This window comes from Homo sapiens, chromosome X, assembly GCF_000001405.40.
Source record: "Homo sapiens chromosome X, GRCh38.p14 Primary Assembly".
NCBI lineage: Eukaryota > Metazoa > Chordata > Mammalia > Primates > Hominidae > Homo > Homo sapiens.
Genome location: NC_000023.11, coordinates 10,948,991 through 10,965,006, shown reverse-complemented (window position 1 = coordinate 10,965,006; position 16,016 = coordinate 10,948,991). Strand labels below are relative to the sequence as shown.

Here is a 16,016-nt window from a genome sequence, read left to right as displayed (position 1 = left end):
AGAGACCCCAGGGAGCTCCCTCACCCCTTTCACCATATGAGGACAGAGCGAGAAGGCCCTGTCTATGAACCAGTAAGCAGGCCTTCACCAGACACCAATCAGCCAGTGCCTTGATCTTAGACTTCCCAACCTTCAGAATTGTGAGAAATAAATTTCTATTATTTATAAATTACCCAGTCTAAGGTATTTGGTTTTAGCAGCCCAAACGGACTAAAATATCTTTCTGTAGGTTCTTTATACATATATAAAATATATCCTAGTTTACTCCTTTCTTTTACAAAAACAATATGAAATTCCATTTATATAAAAAGTACAGAATAGGTAAATCCATACAGACAGAAAGTAGTGGTTGCCTAAGACTGAGGGTGGGGTGTTGTAAGGAGTAACTGCTAAAAGGTATGGGGTTTACTTTTAGAGGGATAAAAATGTTCTTAAATTAGACAGTGGTGATAGTTGCACAACATCATGAATGTACCAAAAACCACTGAACTGTATAGTTTAAAAGGGCAAGTTGTATGATATATGATGTATCTTAAGAAAAAGAAAACTAGGTCTAATCCTTCCTTTTTCTGTGACGTGGGCAAATGATTTATTGAAACTGGTTGAACCCCAAATGACTCTCTTCTGAAAATGAAGGAGGGTCTCCCAGCAGGAATGCTGGAAGGGTGAAAGTTGATGATGTTTGTGAAGCCCCTGCACATGGTCTGCCCTCCGTAAACTGGGATGTGCCAACTCTTTCACTCACTCCCCAAATCCTAGAGAGGGGCCCCGTAAGGATGCTAAAGGACTGGTTGGTACCTGCAGGGGAATGAGGAGCACCAAGGAGAAGAGGCAGGGACTGCCCAGGGTGATTAGAGTCTAACCACCCTTTCCTGATTGGGCTCTTTTTTCATGAGCTGGTTCTGGTCTTGGGAAAGCCACCTTGGAGTAAAATCAGGAATAGCTGTTGGGAGAAAAAACATGTTTATCAAAGGTCAAGTGTATAAAACCTTCTGAAGCAATACCATGGCTAAAATCATGTGTTTTCCTTTTCCTTAAATTTTGGCATCTCTTTTCTTTTTAGCCACTTGATTGCCGAGCCCCATAGAAGACATAATTTACAAGAAACTCATAGAGACTCAAAATGTAAGGTTCTCTGAAAGAAATTGAGGTGTAGTTCTTAGGTTAAGGGAAATGATTAACTTGATTTATCTATGAAGGTTTTTTCTCAGTGTGGAGGAAAATAGATAATGTGCATTGCCAAGTGATTTGCAAGACATTGATTGACTTAGTAAACATTTATTGAATATCTACTTTATTTAAAGCATTGTGTTGGGCACGCTTGGGGGTAAAATTAGATACAGTTCTTAAACAGAAGGAAGAAAAGAAATCCATGTTTTTGGAAAGGCTGTGACTCATTTAAGCTCCATAACATCGAGGAAGATGAGAATTACAATATTATTATATGTCATTTTTGGTATTAATGGGATTGAACTTATTAAATAATACATAGTGAGTGATAACGGTTCAAATCCAGGTTGGATTAGCTCAAACATGTACTTTCTTCTCAGTACTCCATATTGCTTTTCTTATTTAAATGTCTTCATAATTTCTTTAAGATATTTTCATAAATTGGGATTTAAAATGTATTCTGGTACTATCATTGAAATGGTTTATATATTTCATATATATGTAAATTCACAGATTGAAAATATAAATTTTGAGAAGGTTAGTATATATAATACACTTTTTAAATATAGGTCTGTGTGCTTTACATACAAATGCAATTAATTTAAGCAAAAAGAAAATAGCTATACGAAAAAATCTATACCTTTTTCAAAAGGATTATATTTCTGCAAGAGCTTGATTCTTTATTTATTTGGCTAGAATAATGTTAGACATTTTAAAATAAGCAATATTTTTCCCCAAAAATGTTGACATCTTTAACATCAACATAATGTCAGTTATTATGTATATATATATAGACACACATATATATATACACAACTGTTCCCTTTTATGCTTCTTTCTCTTTATCCATGGGCTTCAATTGCCAGCGAAAATTTTTGGAACTATTACATGACATTTTTGAAGCCTATAACAAGCATATATTAGTGTCAGCAGTAAAAAGCACCTAATTCTGTTTTCACAGTGGGAAGCCACATGGTAAAGGTTATACACTGATGAATATATTATTTTGTAACAAATTTATGGGGACAGAGATGGAGAGATTCTTACCTGAAGGCAAATCTAGCTGTTTGGGTTAAGAGTCCAATGCCCATGATGATGCAGCTCATGAAAAATGTCCATTTCAATGAGCTATTTTGAATATTTAATTCAATAATATTTAGTGAGTGTCTATTACCCAAAAGGCACAGTTCTTTAAGTATCATGGGAAGAGTGACTCTAATTTCCAAAACAAAACAAAACAAAACAAAACAAATGGGTCATTTTATATTTATGGAGACAGTGGTATAGAATATCTGCAATCCACATGATCTTAGAGAATTCCTATTAATGTCATTGTGTCTATTATTTTTCCTGTGTGTCTCCAAACGGCAGAACAATAGAATGCTCTCTTCAACTTGAGAAAGTCTTTATATTTAAGGCAAGAAAATATGGTAAAAAGAAACAAGCTATGGATCTAGCTTTGGGGATCTTAGGAAACAACATGAGAATGATTTTTATCTTGGATGGCTTAGGTAGTGCTTCCCTGAACCTGGGAGTGGAGCTCCCAGTGCACAAGACTCCTTCTTATGCACCCCAGTGATTGAAGCTAATAGATGGTGTGAGACCCAGGAAGATGCAGAATGGCATGGGATCTAGGGGATATGGAAAGGACGTACATAGAGCTGAGAAGGAAAAAGGGCACTGAATTTGAGACAAGAGGGAAGAAAAGAGGCAGTTAAAAGCAGAAGAGGTATATGTGATATTTTGATACATGTATACAATGTGTAATGATCAAATCAGGGTAATTGGAATATCTATACCTCAAACATTTATCTTTTCTTTGTGTTGGGAACATTCCAGTCTTCTCTTCTAACTATTTTGTGTACATCTATCAAAATATCATGTGTACCCTAAAAACATGTACAACTATTATATATCAATTAAAAAGAAAAAATAAATTATATTTTTAAAAACAGTTCTAAAAATAGATAGAAGAAAAGTTGAAAGGTTGTAGATTATCTCAGTTTTGTCAGAGAAGGTGGGTTCATTGAAGACTGAAGTGGGTGGAGGTGGATTTGGTAACCCAGACAGAGTAGAAATATTTTCAGCATCTACTACTGAGCCACTGGTGAGAAATCTTCAAGGAAAAAGATTTATATAATTCAGTAATTTATAAATGATCCTAATTAGTTTAAGGTCTGCTCTAACATCACTCAAAAACAGATGTGTAGGAATGAAAAGTTCCATAATTGTAATAGAAGTCAGTTGGGAATTGGCAAGAGGAATTCTAGGGTGAAGGGAAAAACAAATTATTGACCATTGGCTCTTTCAGAACTGAGTCAAGAGGCCACTCAGCTATGGTTGTATATTAGTTTCCTATGGCTGCTGTAACAAATTACCACCTACTTGATGGCTTATACAGCACTTACTATCTTAAGAGTTCTGAAGGCCAGAAATCCAACATGAGTTTCACTGGGTTGAAATCAAGGTGTCAGTGCTAGGTCTCCCCTACTTCCCCAGGGTGAATCTTTCTTGCTTTTCCCAGCTTTAAAGGCTGCTGACTTTCTTTGGTTCACAGCTGCATACTCCAGTCTTTGCTTCCATCCTCATATCACCTTGTGTGACTTTGATCCTCCTGCCTCCCTCTTATAAGAATCCTTGCGATTACTTTGGGCTCCTGGAAAATCACCTCATCTCAAGATCCTAAACTTAATAACATCTGCAAATCCCTTTTGCCATGTAAGGTAACATATTCACAGGTTCTAAGGATTAAGACGTGGAAACCTTTGGGAGGGTCACTATTCATTGGACCACAGTTGGCAATCCACTAGAAAAGTAGGGAGGGATCCAGGAAGTGGATGCCAGCATGAGGAAGGAGATGCAGCAGGAATTAGGATTTGAAAGCTTGGGAAGTTCAGGAGGTTGTAGTCTATTAGAGGGATCTCACGGTGTGAGATCTTAGTCACATGAAATGGTCAAGTATATTGTAATGCTTCCTTAGAGGGGAAGTACCAAAGAGATGAGTTTTTAGTGCACTGAAGGACAAGGATCTGTGAACTGTGGTGTCAGAAGGGGCATCAGTAGGGTTGTCAGTGCCTTGGAGGATGATGTCTTTGAAAAGAAGGATGGCAGTGGATGCCTAGTGTCTTAAAACACCTGGCAATGTGTCTCAAAATGGAACAACAATAAATGGGAAAGGAGAGATGTGTAAGTATATGACAAAAGTCTTAAAACCTGGGAACAGAGCCAGGCTCAGTGCTCATGCCTATAATCCCATTACTTTGGGAGGCCAAGACAGGAGGATCTCTTGAACCCAGGAGTTTGAGACCAACTTGGGTGATATAATGAGACCCCATCTCTACAAAAAAATTACAAAATTAGCTGGGCATGTTGGTATGCACCTGTGGTCCCGGCTACTCAGGAAGCTAAGATGGGAGGATCACTTGAGCCTGGGAGGTCAAGGCTGCAGTGACCCGTGATCACACCACTGTGCCCCAGTTTGGGTGACAGAGCAAGACCCTGTCTCGACAAAACAAAACAAAACAACCCTCCCCCCACACACACACAAACTAGGAACATTATAGCATGTTGATGTTGGGGCAGGAACCTAAAAGCTATAGAAGAAAGTAGGGACTATTCCATCTCCTCCTAGTCATTCTAATCCCATCCCCAAGTCATGGGAAGTGTGAGAAGGAGCAATCAAACTTCCTTCGGAAAGGCTGGCAAGGGAGGTAGAGCCTTGAGGATAAGGCAAAGGGCAGAGACATTAGAGAATATGAAGGCATATGGATATGTTATCAGTAGACTATGGGCTACAAAATAGTAGGAGTAGAGTTACCTTCTTGAGAGCAGGCCTGGGATAGTTCTGAAATGTGAGGAGAGTTTTCTGGAGTTCAGAGTGGGAAGACATTTGTAATTACAGCAGTGAGTGCTGATACCTGAGACAGTGCTCTTTCTTCCTAGTGGGAGAAGAAGAAAGCCAATGCATTCTTTTGCCAGATATTTTATGTCACAAAGATGCCTCTGAATAAAAATTACCTATGTGTAGCCTCCTGGCACTTACAAAGCTTCTTCACAAGCTTTGTACCATATTTTTGAATCCTCCACTTGTGTAGGTATTTATAACATTGTTTTATAGATGAGCCCACTAGGCTCAGAGTCATCACAGGACCAGCCACAGGTCACATGGCTAATAAATGACAGAGTTGAGGCCAATCCCAAATTTCCAATTCAAGTCCAGTTTTTGGTTTTTTTCTCCCTGCCCCCTGCATTTAGAAAGAAAAGTAGCCTGAAAAATACTAGCACAGTTGAAGAGAGTGTGGAAAAATAAGAGAAGTTTATTAAACCACCAGATAATTTAAAAATTGGTGTTCAACAGGAAAAGGGAGGAGGTGGTTAAGAGAATTTTTCAAACTTAGAAGTTAATATGAAAATGGTACCACGAAAACTTGAAGGAAAAATTTATTGCCTTGTAAACCACCATTGTGTTGACTTGTTGTTCATATTGTGGTGAATCCTGAAAGTGTTGGCCTACAAATTTTCCATGTGGTGTGGGCACTGCAATTTTGGCTTCTGAAATGACCATATCATTTTGAAATTTGAAGTGACAGAAAGGACAAACTCCCAAGCAAAACAAAGCTGAAGTCATCCTAACAAGTTCCTGAATGGGTTGAAGTACAGAGTGATTGAGTAGCATATGTGTGTGTGGGGATGGGGGGGTGGCAGGTGGGTGGTGTGTTCCTCAGGGCTATTTATTTATTTTTATTTCCAACTTTGATTTTAAGTTCAGGGGTACATGTACAGGATGTGCAGGTTTGTTACATAGGTAGCTATGTGCCATGGTGGTTTGCTGCATAGATCATCCCATCACCCAGGTGTTAAGCCAGCATCCAACAGCTATTCTTTCTGATGCTCTTCCTCCTCCCACCCTCCAACAGGCCCTAGTTTGTGTTGTTCCTCTCTGCCCCCCACCATGTGTCCATGTGTTCTCATCATTCAGCTACCACTTATAAGTGAGAACATACAGTATTTGGTTTTCTGTTCCTGCGTTAGTTTGCTAAGGATAATGGCTTCCAGGTCTATCCATGTCCCTACAAAGGACATGATCTCATTCCTTTTTATGGCTGCATAGTACTCCATTGTGTATATGTAACCATTTTTTTTTATCCAGTCTATCATTGATGGGCGTTTAGGTTGATTCCATGTCTTTGCTATTGTAAGTAGTGCTGCAATGGACATACACGTGCATGTATCTTTATAATAGAATGATTTATATTCCTTTGAGTATATACCCAGTAATGGGATTGCTGGGTCAAATGGTATTTCTGCCTCTAGGTCTTTGAGGAATTGCCACACTGTCTTCCAAAATGGTTGAACTAATTTACACTCCCATCAACAGTATAAAAGCATTCCTTTTTCTCCACAACCTCACCAGCATCTGTTGTTCTTGACTTTTAAGTAATAGCTATTCTGACTGGTGTGAGATGGTATCTCATGTGGTTTTGATTTGCATTTCTCTAATGATCTGTGATGTTGAGCTTTTTTCATATGATTGTTGGCTGCATATAGGTCTTCTTTTGAGAAGTGCCTGTTCATGTCCTTTGCCCACTTTTTAATGGGGTTGTTTGGTTTTCCTCTTGTTAATTTGTTTCAGTTCCGTATGGATGCTGGACATTGGACCTTTGTCAGATGGATAGTTTGCAAAAATTTTCTCCTATTGTGTAGGTTGTCTGTTTACTCTGTTGATAGTTTCTTTTTCTGTGCAGAAGCTCTTTAGTTAAATTATATCTCATCTGTCAATTTTTGCTTTTGTTTCAATTGCTTTTGTTGTCTTTGTCATGAAATCTTGCCTGTGCCTATGTCCTGAATGGTATTGCCTAGGTTTTCCTCTAGATGTTTTATAGTTGTGGGTTTTACATTTAAGACTTTAATCTATCTTCAGTTGATTTTTGTATATGGTGTAAGGAAGGGGTCCAGTTTTAATTTTATGCATGTGGCTAGCCAGTTCTCCCAGCACCATTTATTAAATAGGGGATCCTTTCCCCATTACTTGTTTTAGTCAGGTTTGTCAAAGATCAGATGGTTGTAGATATGCAGTCTTATTTCTGGGTTCTCTATTCTGTTCCATTGGTCTATGTGTCTGTTCTTATACCAGTGCCACACTGTTTTGGTTACTGTAGCCCTGTAATATAGTTTGAAGTCAGGTAGCATGATGTCTCTAGCTTTGCTCTTTTTGCTTAGGATTGCTTGAATATTTGGGCTCTCTTTTTTGTTCCATATAAATTTTAAAATAGTTTTTTCTAATTTTGTGAAGAATGTCAGTGTCAGTTTTATGGGAATAGCATTGAATCTATAAATTGCGTTGGGCAGTATGTACATTTTCACAATATTGATTCTTCCTGTCCATGAACGTGGAATGTTTTTCCATTTGTTTGTGTCATCTCTGATTTCTTTGAGCAGTGGTTTGTAGTTCTCCTTGAATAGGTCTTTCACTTCCCTTGTTAGCTATATTCCCAGGTATTTTATTCTTTTTGTGGCAATTGTAAATGGGAGTTCATTTGTGATTTGGTTCTCAGATTGCCTGTTAGTGTATAAGAATGCTAGCAATTTTTGCACATTGATTTTGTATTCTGAGAATTTGCTGAATTTGCTTATCAGCTTAAGAAGCTTTTGGGCTGAGACAATGGGGTTTTCTAGGTATAGGATCATGTCATCTGCAAACAAAGATAGTTTGACTTCCTCTCATCCTATTCGAATATGATTTATTTCCTTCTCTTGCATGATTGTCCTGGCCAGGACTTCAAATACTATGTTGAATAGGAATGATGAGAGTGGGCAACCTTGTCTTGTGCCAGTTTTCAAGGGGAATGATTCTGGTTTTTGCCCGTTCAGTATGATATCGTTTGTGGGTTTGTGATATATGGCTCTTATTATTTTGAGGTATGTTCCTTCAATACCTAGTTTATTGAGAGTTTTTAACATGAAGGGATGTTGAATTTTATCAAAGGCCTTTTTCTGCATCTATTGTGATAATCATGTGGTTTTTGTCTGCAGTTATGTGATGAATTACATTTATTGATTTACATATGTTGAACCAGCCTTGCATCCCAGGGATGAAGCCTACTTTATTGTGGTGGATAAGCTTTTTGATCTGCTGCTGGACTTGGTTTGTCAGCATTTTGTGCAGGATTTTTGTATCGATGTTTATCAAGGACATTGGCCTGAAGTTTTCTTTTTTTGTTGTATCTATGCCAGGTTTTGGCCTCATAGAATGAGTTAGGGAGCAGTTCCTTCTTTTCAATTTTTTTGAAATGGTTTCAGTAGGAATGGTACCAGCTCTTCTTTGTATCTCTATTAGAATTCAGCTGTGAATCCATTTGGTGGTGGCTTTTTTTTTCTTTTTTTTTTTTTGGTTGGTAGGCTATTTATTACTGCCTCAGTTTCAGAACTCGTTATTGGTCTATTCAGGGATTCAATTTCTTCCTAGTTCAGTCTTGAGAAAGTGTATGTGTCCAGGAATTTATCCATTCCTTCCTTGTAAATTTTCTAGTTTATGTGCACAGAAGTGTTTATAGTATTCTCTGATGGCAGTTTGTATTTCTGTGGAGTCAGAAATCAGTGATTTCTGATTGTGTTTATTTGAATCTTCTCTCTTTTCTTCTGTATTAGTCTAGCTAGTGGTCTATCTGTTTTATTAATTTTTTTCAAAAAGCCAGCTCCTGGATTCATTGATTTTTTTGGAAGGGTTTTTCATGTCTCTATCTCCTTCACTTCAGCTCTGATTTTGGTTATTTCTTGTCTTCTGCTAGCTTTGGGGTTTGTTTGCTGGCTCTCTAATTCTTTTAGTTGTGTTGTTAGGTTGCTAACTTGAGATCTTTCTAGCTTTTTGATGTAGATATTTAGTGCTATAAATTTCCCTCTTAACACTGTGTTAGCTGTGTCCCAGAGATTCTGGTATATTGTATCTTTTTTCTCATTAGTTTCAAATAACTTCTTGATTTTTGCCTTCATTTCATTATTTACCCAAAAGTCATTCAGGAGCAGGTTGTTCAGTTTCCGTATACTTGTGTGATTTTGAGTGAATTTCTTAATCTTGAGTTCTAATTTAATTGCGTTGTGGTCCAAGAGACTATTATGATTTCAGTTCTTTTGCATTTGCTGAGGAGTGTTTTACTTCCGACTATATGATCAATTTTAGAGTAAGTGCTGTGTGGTGATGAGAAGAATGTATATTCTGTTGTTTTTGGATGGAGAGTTCTGTAGATATTTATCAGGTCCACTTGATCCCGAGCTGAGTTCAGGTCCTGAATATTTTTGTTAATTTTTTGCCTTGATGATCTGTCTAATATTGTGGGATGTTAAAGTCTCCCACTATTATTGTGTGGGAGTCTAAGTCTCTTTGAAAATCTCTAAGAACTTGTTTTTTGAATCTGGGTGTTCCTATATTGGGTGCATATATATTTAGGATAGTTAGCTCTTCTTGTTGAATTGAACCCTTTACCATTATGTAATACCCTTCTTTGTCTTTTTTGATCTTTGTTGGTTTAAAGTCTGTTTTGTCAGAATATAGGATTGCAACCCCTGCTTTTTTCTGTTTTCCATTCGCTTGGTGAGTTTTCCTTGATCCCTTTATTTTGAGCCTGTGTGTATTTTTGCATGTGAGATGGGTCTCTTGAAGACAGCATACTGATGGGTCTTGGTTCTTTATCCAGCTTGCCATTCTGTGTCTTTTAATTGGGGCATTTAGTCCATTTACATTTAAGGTTAGTATTGTTATGTGTGAATTTGGTCCTCTCATCATGATGCTAGCTGGTTATTTTGCAGACTTGTTTATGTGGTTGCTTCATAGTGTCACTGGTCTGTGTACTTCAGTGTGTTTTTGTAGTGTCTGGTAAAGGTTTTTCCTTTTCATATTTAGTGCTTCCTTCAGGATCTCTTGTAAGGCAGATCTGGTGGTAACAGATTCCCTCAGCATTTATCTTATTTCTCCTTCACTTATGAAGCTTAGTTTGGCCAGATATGAAATTCTGGGTTGGAAATTCTTTCCTTTAAGAATGTTGAATATTGGCCCCCAATCTCTTCTGGCTAGTAGGGTTTCCACTGAGAGTTTCGCTGTAAGTCTGATAGGCTTCCCTTTGTAGGTGACCTGGCCTTTCTTTCTGACTGCCCTTAGCATTTTTTCTTCCATTTCGACACTGGAAAATCTGATGATTATGTGTCTTGATCTTCTTGTGGAGTATCTTACTGGAGTTCTTTGCATTTCCTGACTTTGAATGTTGGCCTATCTTGCTAGGTTGGGGAAATTCTCCTAGATGATATCCTGAAGTATGTTTTCCAAATTGGTTCCATTCTCCCTGTCTCTTTCAGGTACTCCAATCAGTCATAGATTTGGTCTCTTTACATAATCCCATATTTCTCAGAGGTTTTGTTCATTCCTTTTCATTCTTTTTTTCTCTATTCTTGTCTGACTGTCTTATTTCAGAAAGATAGTCTTCAAGCTCTGAGATTCTTTCCTCTGCTTGGTCTATTCTGCTATTAATACTTGTGAGTACATTATGAAGTTCTTGTAGTGTGTTTTTCAGCTCTATCATGTTGGTTATGCTCCTCTCTAAACTGGCTATTTGGCTCTCAGCTCCTGCACTGTTTTATCATGATTCTTAGCTTCTTTGCATTGGCTTACAGCATGCGTCTTTAGGTCAGTGAAGTTTGATTTATCCACATTCTGAAGCCTACTTCTGTCATTTCAGCCATCTCAGCCTCAGCCTGATTCTGAGCCCTTGCTGGAAAGGTGTTGTGGTCATTTGAAGGAAAAGGGGCACTCTGACTTTTTGAAGTTTCAGTGTTTTGGGGTTGATTCTTCCTCATCTTTGTGGGCTTATCTACCTTTTATCTTTGAGGTTGCTGACCTTTGGATGGGGTTTTTATGGGTTGTTGCTGTTGTTTTCCTGCTTGTTTGATTTTCTTTTAACAGTCTGGCCACTCTTCCATAGGGCTGCTGTGGTTTGCTGGGGGTCCACTGCAGACCCTAGTCACCTTGGTTTTTCCCATACCTTGGTTTTTCCCATACTTGGAAGTATCACTAGTGAAGTCTGCAAAACAGCAAACATGGCAGCCAGCCCCTTCCTCTGGAAGCTCCATCCCAGGGGTTCTGACCTGTTGCCAGCCCAAATGTACTTGTAGGAGGTGACTGGAGACCCGTTGGGAGGTCTCACCCAGTCAAGAGGAATGGGATCAGGGACCCACTTGAAGCAGTCTGGCTGCTTTTTTGGTAGAGCAGCTGTGCTGTGTTGGGGATCCCTTCAGCCCCTGATCAGTTTTGGCTCTCCAAGGCCCACAGGCTGGACTGGCTGAGACGCCCAAACAGCTGAGGTGGCAGCCTGCCCTACTGCTTGGGCACTCGGTCCCAGGGTGAAGTGAGAACTCTGTCTGCTTTAGAACATGGGCAGGGATGGCCGGAGGCCCTGGCTGGGAGGACCCACCTCAGAGGAGGAGTGGACCAGGGTCCCACTGAAAGAAGCAGTCTGGCTATGCTCGACAAAACAGCCATGTCATGCTGGGGAACTGCCTCTGCCTCTGTCAGCTTAGACTCTCCAAGACCCACAGGCTGGAATGGCTGAGTCTACCAAACAGCAGAGATGGTGGTCTGCCCCTCCCACTGAGGGAACTGTCACATCTCAGGCAGGCTTCACCCTGTTGCCAGTGGCAGGCTGGAATTCCAAGCCAGTGGGTCTTAGAGGGGCAGTGGAAGTGGAGTCTGCAGACTGATGCTGCTCAGCTCCTTGGATTCAGTCCCCTTCCTGGGGATGTGTATGGACCTCTTGCCTTGCCTGAGTTGCAGACATGTTTGTTGGGGATCCTGGGCCCAGACTATGTAAAGTTCCTTGATCTCTGTGCATTCCTGAGCAATTGCCCTGCTGAGACTCCATACAGCTCTTTGTGTTGGACCCAAGGCCTTAGTGGCAGGGGATCATGAGGGGATCTCCTGATCCACGGGTTGCAAACATCCGTGGGAGAAGTGGTGGTTTCCCAGGGTTGCACAATCACTCACTGCTTCCCTTGGCTGGGGGTGGGGTTTCCCTTGGCTCCGTGTCAGTCCTGGGAGGGCTGTCACCCTACCCTGCTTTTTCTTCGTTCTCTGTGGGTAGTTGTTTCCCTGATCAGTCCCAATGCGAGTGCACCTGGATATTTCAGTTGAAGGTGCTATATTCACTTGCCCCTTTCATTCTTCTCCATGAGTGCCTTACTCCACAGCTGCTTCTAATAGGCAATTTTTGGCCCTCTCCCTAGGGCTATTTAATTAGGAAACGAGAAATCACTATTCTCCCCAAATTAACATGCCCTGGTTACAAAGTCTTGAGGATAATCGAGTCTGTTCTTGGGTCAACTGAAAAGAAAACCCAGATGGACAAAACGGAAATGTAACACTCCCCCTTTCTAGAATTTAAACTTAGAAATTGTGAATACTGAGTATATGCATAATTTCTTTTAGCCAGATCTGGAGAGACTATCAGTTAGCTAAAAGTGTAAACATTTTTCTAATGTTTTTATTCCCAGTTTCTGGTAAAGACATAGAAAGAGAAGTGAGGTAAAGAATAGCTAAAAGAAAAGAGGATTTTACATGAAAGTGAATTTTTTGGTAATTATGAAGAAAATTAAACAACGTCAGAGATTAGGGAAACAAATTCCTTCAGGTGACATTTTTTGGCCTTTCAACAAAATATTTTACCTCAACTCAATTATGCTGCTGATGTTTATGTGAAGTACTGTGGAGGAATTTTAGATTTTCTTTCTGCCAGTAATTTAATTATATGTCATAAGAGTTAGTTTATTTTAGCTCAACTAGTGATGAATACTTTCAGCTTTGGAATAAATCAGAGTTAAAAGATTGTGGAATGGGGGGATTACTTGGTTAGAACATTTTCAGCTTTTTCCTGTGTCAAACTTAGAACATGTACCTCCAAAGGAGACCAAATGCACTAAGCACCTGTAGTGGATTTTAAGCATGAAGAAAAATAACTCTGTGTTGCTGGAGGAAATTAGGAACCCTGTGGAATGGTTGCAAATCATATTCATGTTGTATTTTCATGTTCAGACAAAAATTCTGCTTGACAAACAACCAGCGATTATTACCAAACACTTTAAACCTGCAATTCTTAGTGAATGCATGGATATTCTCTTTAATGGATAATGCACCAATTGCCAAGAGACTGGCTTCTAGAAATACATTTTCCAATTGCTAAAGGGATGAAATGGCATATATCATAGAAGACAAGCTGCTAGGAGGGAGGGAGGGATATCATGCTACACATTCCAAAAGGAATATGGAACTATTACATGGGGAATAACTTTTCAGGCTTGGAAATAAGAAGACTACATAAAACATTGTCAGACACTCAAACCAATCTGAATGATAATGCTATTCTCCAACGGAAAAAAAAAAAGAAAGAAAGAAGAAAGAAAGAAAAGAAAAGAGCTTCCTCAGTTCAGAGGGTAACTGCAATGAACCCAAAAGAACTGATACAAACCGACTGGTTCTCTTTTAGATTTGCAAATACAGATTACAATGTTGAATAGCTTTCAGTCTTGCAAACTCATCTTTTCTGCATTCTTCCTTACCTTCCCCTTGACGTCATCACCTTAGCTCAACAGTTACTGCAATTTGGAGAGCTGAGCTGTTCTCTTTCCTCCAATGACATAGCTGTAGTTCGAAAAGCCCAGGTTCTGAGGGCTCCTTTTCCATGCACTACGTGTGGGAGCTTTGGCATTGTACATAAACCACTTCAGTCTCAATTTCTTTTTTCTGAAAAGGCAGAAAACATTGACTTTGCAGAGTTGTCATGAGCAGAAAATGAGGTAAAGGAACATAAACTGCCAACCATAGAGGCTGGTTGATCAGTAATATCTGCTAATATTAAAATTTCAAATGTTGTCAAGAAAAACTTAGTCTTCCTTCTGCTTTTTTTTATGCTTGCTCTCCTTTAACATTTATGTTGAGGTTATTCCTAACAGACTAATCTGCCAGTTCCTCAATCTCCAGCACTTCCTGGGCCTCCATTTTCACCTCACCCCTGATACCTGTCCCTGCCACCACCATTAGTAATCAAAGCTTTCCAAGCTTCAAGATCTCCAGCTCGGAAAGACCATTTCCCTTCTTCCGCCTCTCCCATATACTACATATATTAACTCGCTTAATCCTCACAATGACACACAAGGCACTGTTGCTATTGCTGTTTTAGAAAGAAGGAAACTGAGGCACAGGAAAACGATGTGATTTGTCCAAGGTCACACGGCCCGGAAGTCACAGAGACAGAATTCCAAAACAGGTTAAATGGTGGCAGAGGCTGGGATCTTAACCATGGCATCGTATTTCCTCTCCTGGAGCAAGGCACTCTTGGGACATATTCTCCATTGTTTAATGTGAATCACGGACGTGTGGTTCCCAATCTATCCCCATTCCAGGTCTCTTTCTGTCCTGACTGTCTCATTCAATACCTTAATCTGGGCTTCACAGCCTCTTCCAAGACCTGAGAACCTCCAAGCACATTAGTTCTTCTGTGTGGTTGCTCCCTGTCTAGTCTCTTGCCCCTTACTTTGCTCTCCTTCCCATCTGCCTTACCCCCTCAGTGATCTCTCTAAATGTGGCATCACTGACCTCCGAATTTGTGTTTTCCATACCCCACTACTCCTCGAATCCAACAGAACCCCACCTAACTCCCAAAAGAAGCCAAGCCATCCTCCACATTTTTTACACAAATTATTACACTATTTGTTCAGTCACCTACTTTAAAGCCTTGACCATCTTTGCCTTCCAGTATTCAATGTGTTTCCAACCCAGTAGTGCTCTCATTTTCTCCTCAACTCTGCCCCAAACCTGTCCATTCTGTTGTTATCACCTGAGATCCAATTACCTCTCCATTTCCTCATTGTCCAGGCCTCCTGGTGATTCTGCTCCACAGCAGTACCCCTGCCTGCATTTGTCCTCTTCACTCCTCAGCCATTAATCTTCTAGAGCCAGCTAGAGCCACACACAGATTTTCCCAGCTCCTCTCCTTTGGGAGAGACAGAATGTTGTGCTTAGGAACCATGCAGGGTATGATAGGACCTGGAATCAATTCACAGAGGTGGGCACTCAGTTCTGCTCCAGAGACAAGTGCACCTCACAGCTTCAGAAAGAGCTCAAGAGTCAGAAATGACTCTCTCAGTGAACTATAAGCAACAGAAAGAAAAATGAATCTCCATGCACATACTATTTATATAACTGGAGGTTTACTTTTTCAGATATGTATTTTGAATGGTAACCTGAAAACCACTATTTAGAATAGATGAAAGAGGAAAACATGCATAGGATCAGATAAAATTATTTTGGTAGCATGTGCTCAAAAACAAGTTTGTAGATATCCTATTCAAACTGGCACATGAGTGCTTTTGTATTAACATAAAATATTTTGTATGTAACATAAAATGTCAAGTAGAAATCCTTCTGGATCAAATGTAGAGTAAGTGATTCAGGAAAGCTCCAATGTATACATAAAATGAATATGCTAATTTCATGACATACTAGAATATGCAAATATAATTCTTTAATGTCATAGAGACAGAAAGTGGATTCAGTGATTAACTTCTCTTTGTCCTTTAGGACTTGGTTTAACGGTCCGCTTTCCTTGGATATATTTTCTTATCCTGCCCTCTAGCCCCAGGCTGAATTACTTAGGCACTGTTCCCCTGGATTCCTACTTTTTAGAGCCAGGTGCATCTCTTTTTGTGGTACAGATAATAGTATATAATCACCTTTGATTTTCTTGTCTGCATTACCATCTAGACTGTACTGTCCAATATGGAAACCACGAGGTACATGTGACTATTTATAT

General features: G+C 39.6%; 2 long non-coding RNA genes across 2 annotated transcripts in view; one reads left to right on the top strand and one right to left on the bottom strand.

Annotated features, from left to right (window-relative positions):
• Positions 1-16,016, top strand: part of HCCS-DT (HCCS divergent transcript) — a 263,596-nt gene that overhangs the window by 146,132 nt on the left and 101,448 nt on the right. The gene's annotated exons all lie outside the window — the stretch shown is intronic.
• On the bottom strand, positions 303-15,202 carry LOC124905243 (uncharacterized). Its single transcript, XR_007068389.1, has 3 exons — positions 15,057-15,202; positions 13,765-13,948; positions 303-943 (listed from the first exon to the last, which is right to left on the bottom strand). It is a non-coding gene; the product is annotated as an uncharacterized LOC124905243 (long non-coding RNA).